Here is a 9690-nt window from a genome sequence, read left to right on the forward strand (position 1 = left end):
AAAGTTAAATATATAAAAAGAGCATCATCAGTCAAGTCCAGCAGTTGTCCCTCCTGGAATCCGTTGGCTTGCCTCCGGCATTTTTGGCCCTTGCCTTTTAGGGTTGCCAGATTAAAAGACAGGATGCCCAGCTAGTTTGAATTTTAGATAAACAACGAATAATTTCGTAGCGTAAATATGTCCCAAGCTTAGTTTGGGACATACTTATGCTAAAAAACATTATTGGTTGTTTATCTGAGATTCAGAATTAAGCATTTTATATTTTATTTGCTGCCTCTGGCCACCCTACTCTCTTCCTAACACTCTCTCCCTCTCCCAGTTTTGTCCGCCTTCCCTGCCTCCTCTTCTGGGGGAGTTAGATCGAGTTGTAACAAGAACATGCCACTGTCTCGCTGGCTGCAGCGTGTGGTCCCCTTACCAGAGGTAAAGAAGAGATGGATCTCCACTCATGTTGTAGACAGAATGTTTATGTCCTCTCCAAATGCTTATGTTGAAACCCTAACCCCTAATGTGATGGTATGTGGAGATGGGCCTTTGGTAGGTAATTACGGTTAGATGAGGTCATGGGGTGGGGCCCTCATTATAGATCTGGTAAGAAAAGAGAGCATTGTCTCTGTGTCTCCCTCTCTCTCTCTCTCTCTCTCTCTCTCATTTCTCTCTATCTCATTTCTCTCTCTCTCTCTATCTCATTTTTCTCTCTCTCTCTTTCTCTCCTCTGTCTTTTCCCACCAAGTGAGGATGCGAAGAGAAGGTGGCTGTCTGCAAACCAGGAAGAGAGCCCTCACCGGGAACCCGTCCAGCTGCCACCTTGAACTTGGACTTCCAAGCCTCCAGAACTGTGAGGGATAAATGTATGATTTTAAAGTCGCCCAGTGTGTGGTATTTTGTTTTGACTAATACAACCTGAAAACATTTTCCCCTCACTCCACCTGAGCAATATCTGAGTGGCTTAAGGTACTCAGGACACAACAAAGGAGAAATGTCCCATGCACAAGGTGCACCCATGCCTGGGTAAAGCAGCCTGGCACAGAGGGAAGCACACAGGCTCAGGGCTCTGCTATTCATTCTTTGTGTGACCCTGGGCAAGCCATGAATGGAGCTTCAGTCACCCCATTTGTAATGGGATTTAATTGTGCTTGCCCTGCCTCCTTTTGAGGGCTGTAGAGAAAAGATGTCAAAGTATTTTGTAATCTGGCTGGGCGTGGTGGCTCATGCCTGTAATCCCAGCACTTTGGTAGGCTGACGCGAGAGGACTGCTTGAGCCCAAGAGTTTGAGATCAGCCTGGGCAATATTGTGAGATTCCATCTCTACAAAAATAAAATAAAATAGCCAGTCATGGTGTCACACACCTGTAGTCCCAGCTACATGGGAGGCTGAGGTGGGAGGATCACTTGAGCTTGGGAGATCGAGGCTGCAGTGAGCTATGATTGTACCACTGCACTCCAGGCTGGGCGACAGAGAGAGACCCTGTCTCAGAAAAAAAAAAAGTACTTGGTAATCTGTAAGGTTTATTTCAACACACACAAAAAAAGTGTATATGCTCCACGATGCCTGTGAATATACACACACACCACATCATATACCAAGCCTGGCTGTGTCTTCTCACAAATGCACTGCTAGGCACCACCCCCAGTTCTAGAATCACACCAGCCAGTTCACCCTCCAGATGGTTCACCCTCAACTTCATAAAAGTTCCCTACCTAATCTACTGACAGGCGCATCCCCGACCTAATTTTAAAGATTTCCTAGGAGCTGCAATGGGAATCCTGGACCTCAGCCTGGACAAAGAACAGCTGCAGGTCATTCTCATGTGTGGACACGGAAGCCCTGCCTGCCTTTGCTGGCCAGCTGGGCTGAGTGGGCCTGGGAAATTAAGGCTGCAGGGTTGGTCCCAGGCAGTCTTGCTGAAGCTTGCCACATCCCCCAGCCTCCTGGATTTGCCAGGATCCAAGAGCATGGACTTTAGGAATTCCTGGTGGAGGAGTGAAGAAAATGTGACAGGGTGTCCTAAGCCCCGATCTACAGGAAGAAAACTGGAAATAAGACTGAGGACTTAGTTTAAGATGTTCCTACTCAGCCTCTAGCTTTTGTGCTACAGTTCCGGGAACAGACTCCTCTCTCCTGAAAACCACTTCCCTCCGCAGCATTAAATTTCACCAAGATGTCTTGCTTGTGGGAAAGACTTCCAAGGATGCCTGGAGAGAGGAGGATGGAAATGTCCTGCTCTCTAAACAGATAGACAGATGCAGCCAGACAGAAAATAGTTTATCTTGCTGAGGTTTCTAATGTATTTGAAAGAGGCCTGGGTCTAGAAGTCTACCCAGAGGGCTCTGTGTTGTGCACGCAAAGATAAGAACCTTCCCTGTGGGAGTTCCAGAGCCAGTTTTCATAAACACCCATCGGTGACTGTGTTCAGAGTGAGTTCACACCATCCTGACCTGCCCTGAGTTAGACCTTACATGGTCTTCCTCCTCTAGGAAGCCTCTGCAGCCCAGGAACCTCCCCTTATCTGAAATGAACAGCATTTGAAGCTTCACCAGACAGACCAGACAGCTTAGCCCTCGTGTTGTGCTATGTGGGTTGTTCTCTGAGAGGCAGGAGAGCATAGTGGTTACTAGGAAGGGAAGGACTTTGGGACTAGACTGCCTCGGCTGGAGTCCTCTTTCTGCTTCATAGCCACGTGATCCTAGGCATGTTACCTGTGCCTCAGTTTTCACTCTATCAATATGTAATAACTGCATCTGTCTTTGTGGTGAGGATTCAGTGAGTTAACATATTTGAAGTGCTTAAAAATGAGGCTTGTGTCCATAGATTAATGAGTGAATACACAAATGGTGATATGGACATACAGTGGAGTATTAGTCATAAAAAGGAAGGCAGAGCTGATCCATGGCACCATGTGACTGAACCTCAAAAGCATTAGGTTAAGTGGAAGAAGCCAGACACAGGTCACCTATTGTGTAATTCCATTTATAGGAAATATACAGAATATGTAAATCCGTGGAGAAAGAAAGCCGATTTCCAGGGGCTAAGGGGAGGGGAGAATGGGAAGTGGCTGCTTCATGGGTACAAGGTTTCATTTTGAGCTGATGAAAATGTTTTGGAACTACATAGAGATAGTGTTGGCACAACATGGTGAATGTACTGAATGCCACTGATTGTTCACTTTAAAATGGTCAAACTTATGTGAATTTCACCTCCATTAAAAAAAAAAAAAGGACCAGACGTGGTTGCTCACACCCATAATCCCAACACTTTGGAAAAAGGTGAAAGTTTTTTTTCTTTTTTTTTTATATACTTAAGTTCTAGGGTACATGTGCATAATGTGCAGGTTGGATACATAGATATGAGTGTGCCATGTTGGTTTGCTGCACCCATCAACTTGTCATTTACATTAGGTATTTCTTCTAATGCTATCCCTCCCCCAGCCCCCCACCCACTGACAGGCCCCAGTGTATGATGTTCTCTGCCCCATGTCCAAGCGTTCTCATTGTTCAATTCCCACCTGTGAGTGAGAACATGCAGTGTTTGGTTTTCTGTCTTTGTGATAGTTTGCTCAGAATGATGGTTTCCAGCTTCATCCATGTCCCTGCAAAGGACATGAACTCATCCTTTTTAATGGCTGCATGGTATCCCATGGTATATATGTGCCACATTCTCTTAATCCAGTCTGTCATTGATGGACATTTGGGTTGGTTCAAAGTCTTTGCTATTGTGAATACTGCCACAATAAACATACATGTGCATGTGTCTTTATAGTAGCACGATTTATAATCCTTTGGGTATATACCCTAAGACCTGGGACGCATTTAAAGCAGTGTGTAAAGAGACATTTATAGCACTAAATGCCCACAAGAGACCTCTGCCTGAGAACGTGGGTTTCAGCCTAAGAGTTGTAATATGTGTGCCCATTCACAGGTGCTGCATCAGAGTCCCAGGTGGGAAGAAGGCAAGCATACACAAAAATGGTAAAAGGCAGAAAGGAGCCCAGTCTCGTTCTTTTTAAGAAGTTTTCCTAAGAATCTCCACCCAGCGACTTGCTCTCACATCTTCTTGGCCAGCACTGGACCACACAACTTCTTCTAGATACAGAGGAGTCCTAGGATTCTATGAGAAAGAAGGGGAGGGTGGGCAAAGGGCAGCCAGCTGTGCAGCATCTGCTGGAGACACCTAACCCTTGGTGGAGGGGTTGTGGTGCTGGGAGAAGGCTTTCTGGACGGTGTGACAGCAGAGATAAACTTAAAGGCCAAGTAGGAGTTACCCTGGTGAAGCAGGGCAGGGTTACAAGCATTCCAGCAACTTGAAGCAGCAGGAGTGTTTTAATTAAAAGAAGGCAGTTGCTGTAACCAACTATAAACAAATAAAGGCTTAAACACAATGGAAGTTTATTTCTCACTAAGGGAACATCCAAATCCATGATACTTTAAGTCAGGGACCCAGGTTCCTCCCATCTATGGTTCTGCCATCACTAATCTGGGTCTTCCACAATTGCCGTGCTCCTTGGAGGTGGGAAGAGCAGGTGGAGGACACGTGGGAGGTTTTAGAGACAAGCCTGGAGGCAGCATGCGTCACTCCCATGCAGAGTCCATTGGCCAATGCTGGCTCCGATGGCCACATCTCACTGCAGGGGCAGCTGGGAAATACAGTCTGGCTGTCTACCCAGGAGGAAGAGCAGCCAGTTTCTGCTGCTGATGATCAGGAGGTAGAGAAAATGTTCAGTCGGGCAGGGAGTGGGAATAGACAAGACCACAAGCAGCTTGGTGCCTCTGAAAGGGAGAGGGGTGGAGGGGAGACTAGAGAGGTGGGTAGGAATACTGGATTCCACTGACCACATGCTGGATGTCACGCTTAGCCCTCCTGCTCTGTGCCGGGTTAGGCACCTGGTGTTTTACGTACATAATCTCAATTCTGTGAGGGCATCCGACCTGTGGGAAAAGAGCTGTTTGTTTCAAATGCTACTCCTGCTTCCTAACAAGTGTTTAGAGCTTAATCGTGTTCAAAATACATATACAATGTTTAATACTTACAAGAATTTGGCGGGGAAAATATTACCATCTTTCCCTTTTATGATTGGAGAAAAATGAGGCTTTGAAGGGTTTAAGAACTTGCCCAAGGTTGGCCAGGTGCAGTGGCTCATGTCTATAATCCCAACACTTTGGGAGGCTAAGGTGGGAGGATCGCTTGAGGCCAGGAGTTCAAGACCAGCCTGAGCAACATAGTGAGACTTTGTCTCTATAAAAAATAAATAAATAAATAAATAAAAAGAACTTGTCCAAGGTCAGACAGGCAGCCTCTTAGTAAGCACACATATCCTCTATATTATACTACCTCTCATGGAGGATCTCCTGTGTTCTACAAATAGTCTGGACTTGAGCCAGAATGTGTTATAATCCTGGGATCACAGCCAGTGGGCTTAGAAGAAGCCATCTCTTTCTCATGCCAAGATGAGGCTCCCCCAGATTTGCTCAGACTTACCTATAGTCAGCAGCATCGGGGGTCAGGAAAGACTTCATGAAGCCATAAATGCATCCTTCTCGGGGCAGCACCTGGCTCTCCCAGGTGAGAGAGGAATCCATTTTCACAGGCAGGTGTGGGAGCTTCAGCACCCATCTCTGGGCCCAGAATGACCCACTGGAGACCTTACAGCTCTCCTGTCACCCCCAATTCCTGCCCCCTCTGCAGCCTTGGAGGAGAATGGAGCTGAAGGGCCTGCCCTCTGTAGGGTGAGAAAGGGAGGCTAAAGCCTGGTGCCCACTGCCCTGGCTGCTCCGCATTGCAGGAGCTGCGCCCTTCCTTTCCTGGCACAGGGTCCACAGCCCCGAAACCCCGTTGTGTGGGAGCTGGGCACAGGGCAGCAGGACTAATCCTTGGAACAGCTCAGGGAGGATTATCCCAGCCACTGTCAGCAGCGGTGCAGCTGGCTCATTCCCATATAGGGGGAGGCCAGAGCCAGGGGCCTGCCACAAGTTGGAAGGCTGGGGAAGGGGAGGCCAGCAGAGGTGTCCTGGCTGTGGGTGGCTCTGAGGGGGCTCTCAGGGGTGGGGCTAAATCTCAGGGGCAGGATTATGTAAATCAAACCAATTCTAGCCACAGATTTAAAGTTTGGAAAAAAAAAAAAAAACCCAGCCTGGCGGAAAGAATTTAAATTATAAAAACTTAGAAGTATGGAATGTGAAATCATCCTGTAGGTGCTTATTTAACAACGAAATCATCCCGACACAATGAGCCATATGTGAAAAGTCCTCCTTCCCCAACACATCCCCCAACAGGCACTCCTCAAACCTCTACCACCCAAGTGCTGGCATCCTCCCTGTCCTGCTTCACCTGAGACACCCCTTGTCTCATTAGACATGCAACTACGGGAGGGGTGACAGGAAGACAAGACACTATTTCCTCAGGCCCAGTTTGGTGTGGGGAGAAAGCCTCCTGATCCTGAAAGCAAGAATTTGACCAGAGCAGAAGTAATCAGTATGCAGATTGACTCTGTGGTATGTTAATGTTTATGCATAGATTATGAGGACTAGATGAAAAGTGGGCCAGGGGAGACAGATGTGTGTGTGAGTCATGGGTGGCTGAGATGGGGACAGGAGGGAAACTGGTTCGGAGGCTGCTGGCGATGGGATGGGGGTGCCAGGAGGAAGGGAGGCAGTTGTTTGAATGTCTGCATGAAAAAGCGGAGGACGGCGGGGTCTGGGTGAATTCGGGCAACCATTTGGACGGTGGAGAAAACTGCCTGCGTGCGGCTGAGGACCTGAACTATTAATTTGTTTTTTAGCTAATGCAAAGATAAATATAAAAACTGATACTCCATCCAGTTACCAGAAAACATTTAGGTATGTGTGAGACAACTTGGGTATGTGAACCTACCTTTTCAATGTAAATTCAGTGAAATCTAAGTACAGATCCCATATTTCCAATAAAAAGGTAACATCCAAACTCAGATGTCCTATGAGTATAAAATACACAAAGATCTTCTGGACTTAGTATGAAAAGGGATTTTTTTTGTCAGGTACCTCACTAGTTATTTTTAAAATAGGATTGCATGTTGAAATGATAATCTTTTGGATATATTGGGTTAAGTAAATGTATTATTAAAGTTAATTTCACTTAAAAATGTTTAATGTAGCTACTAGAAATGTTAAAATTAAGCATGTTGCTCACCTTATGTTTCTATTGGACGGCTCTCTCTAGATACAAAGGCTGCCAAGAGGTACCTCACTCTAGCTTCAGGGAGAAGAGAGGAATTAGCAAGGCCAAGCAGAAGCTCCTGAGGGCAGAGCCAAGGGCGGCTTGGTGGGGTGGGGATGGGATGCACAGAGATAACTCCAACCCTTAGGAAGGTGTTTCCTAGAGCAGGCTGTGACCTGTCAGTTTATACACTGAGGCTTAGGAGCCTCTTGGATGCCTCCAGATCTGCACCCCTGAATTGCCCTGTGCCCCTGCCGTCTTTGTTCCTGTGCTGGCATAGTGGTCTCACCTCAGGCAGTATCACCACCACTGGGCACAAGCTTCTCCAGCACAGCAACTGTGTCTTATTTCTCCTTGTACTCCCAGTGTTCACACCATGTTGCACTCACAGAAGACTCTTCGGTGATATTTTGTGGACAGAGAGAATGCCTGTGAGAGTGGGCTGAAGTGTGCGTTGGGCTCCAGAGACCTTAAGGAGGGGAGACCAGGTCCTGAGTAAAGTTGAAGGGGAGGGGCTGAGTCCTGCTAGCCAGGAGTCTCATCCCCTGGGGAAGTTCCAGGGACCCTCAGAAGTGCAAGGGGACGGTGTTAGTGTTAGTCCAGTAACACAGCCCAGAGCCTGCCTTCCACGTGGGTTTGACAGGAACCTCCTAACTGCTCTTCTGCTTCCATTTTTGCCCCTTCAGTCTATTCTCAACAGGGAAGCCAGAGGCATCCTTAACCATGTCAGATCATGTGGCTCCTCAGCTCAAAGCCTCATCTCAGAGGAAAGCTCTGGTCCCTTAGAAATGGCCCAGGTGGTGACAGACAGACTCTAAGGTGAGCAGACTGTTGCTAGATATCTGGGCTTGGAGGACTCGCCACTGCTCAAAGGCAGTGAGGATTTTCGCACTAGAAGCTGGAGGACAGGGATCCTTGTTAGGTAGGAGCAGAAAGCTTAGAAAAGTGGTCTCCTGCAGTTATGTGGAAAACACATCATGTAAGTGATAAATTGGGTATGCAGTTGAGGAGATTTCCAAGTAAAATGTTGAGGATGCTGCCTGGTTTCTTCTTACTGCTTATAATATAGTGTGAGAGAAGAGAGATAAATTGAGAAACAGACTGGTTTTTAAACTGTTAAAATTGAATCAGGACTTGATGATTTTGAAAATTGTCAGTCTCCCCACATGGCAAAAGATGCTGAAATTAACAAATGGCTTCTGAGCATGTGGCATAGGGTGTAACTGTACAGTCTTTTGTGATTATGCATAAAGATCAAAGGATGGGAGTAGCAATGAGTCACACAGAGGTCTGTTGCAAGAGATTATAAGGGTGTACCATGCAGAACCTCTCCACCAAACCTTAGGGCCCCTGGGAAGCTTCAGTGAGTTACCCTGGGGGCCATCTTGGCAGGAGCTGAAGGTAGAAAGGTAGAGTTTATCTCTAAAAGATTCATGGGTATGGCTCTTGACAAATCGACTATGAGCCCCACTGAAACCCACAGAGGACAGGCAAAGGGTTTGGGAAAGCTGTTTCACCCACAGTGCTGGCAGATTGGTCTGTAGGGGACAGAGTGCAAAATGAAAGAAGACTGTCAGAGCCCCCAAACTCTGCTGTCAAGAAGAAGGCTGATAAAACTACTTGGCTGCAAACACGTGGATCTTTCGTGAGAAAAGAAGGATGACCCAGAGGCAGAAGCCCAGAAGGCAGAGCCAAGAGACATGGAATCTTCCCACATCTTAAAACCTGTTTAGGGGCTCCCGTCTCCCTCTCCCTCTCCCGTCTCCCTCTCCCTCTCCCGTCTCCCTCTCCCTCTCCCGTCTCCCTCTCCCTCTCATGCCGAGCCAAAGCTGGACGGTACTGCTGCCATCTCGGCTCACTGCAACCTCCCTGCCTGATTCTCCTGCCTCAGCCTGCCGAGTGCCTGCGATTGCAGGCGCGCGCCGCCACGCCTGACTGGTTTTCGTTTTTTTTTGGTGGAGATGGGGTTTCGCTGTGTTGGCCGGGCTGATCTCCAGCTCCTAACCGCGAGTGATCCGCCAGCCTCGGCCTCCCGAGGTGCCGGGATTGCAGATGGAGTCTCGTTCACTCAGTGCTCAATGGTGCCCAGGCTGGAGTGCAGTGGCGTGATCTCGGCTCGCTACAACCACCTCCCAGCCGCCTGCCTTGGCCTCCCAAAGAGCCGAGATTGCAGCCTCTGCCCGGCCGCCACCCCGTCTGGGAAGTGAGGAGCGTCTCTGCTTGGCCACCCATCGTCTGGGATATGAGGAGCCCCTCTGCCTGGCTGCCCAGTGTGGAAAGTGAGGAGCGTCTCTGCCCGGCCGCCATCCCATCTAGGAAGCGAGAAGCCCCTCTTCCCCGCCGCCATCCCATCTAGGAAGTGAGGAGCGTCTCTGCCCGGCCGCCCATCGTCTGAGATGTGGGGAGCACCTCTGCCCCACCGCCCTGTCTGGGATGTGAGGAGCGCCTCTGCTGGGCCGCAACCCTGTCTGGGAGGTGAGGAGTGTCTCTGCCCGGCCGCT

At 48.4% G+C, this 9690-nt stretch overlaps 2 long non-coding RNA genes across 2 annotated transcripts, besides 1 other annotated feature; one reads left to right on the forward strand and one right to left on the reverse strand.

Moving 5' to 3' along the window:
* Positions 1-56: 56 nt before the first annotated feature.
* Positions 57-3992, forward strand: LOC107987170 (uncharacterized). The gene is made up of 3 exons (XR_001748946.2): positions 57-423; positions 734-851; positions 3920-3992. It is a non-coding gene; the product is annotated as an uncharacterized LOC107987170 (long non-coding RNA).
* A 372-nt stretch (positions 3993-4364) lies between these two features.
* Positions 4365-5837, reverse strand: FAM138D (family with sequence similarity 138 member D). The gene is made up of 3 exons (NR_026823.2): positions 5477-5837; positions 5029-5231; positions 4365-4926 (listed from the first exon to the last, which is right to left on the reverse strand). It is a non-coding gene; the product is annotated as a family with sequence similarity 138 member D (long non-coding RNA).
* Positions 6042-6759: an enhancer, noted in NCBI's record as "OCT4-H3K4me1 hESC enhancer chr12:66685-67402 (GRCh37/hg19 assembly coordinates)". NCBI's record gives its function as "activates a minimal SCP1, AML or CMV promoter by ChIP-STARR-seq in primed H9 embryonic stem cells {active_cell/tissue: H9 hESC(primed)}" and the evidence as "EXISTENCE:reporter gene assay evidence [ECO:0000049][PMID:30033119]".

This window comes from Homo sapiens, chromosome 12 (genome assembly GCF_000001405.40).
Source record: "Homo sapiens chromosome 12, GRCh38.p14 Primary Assembly".
NCBI classification, from domain to species: domain Eukaryota; kingdom Metazoa; phylum Chordata; class Mammalia; order Primates; family Hominidae; genus Homo; species Homo sapiens.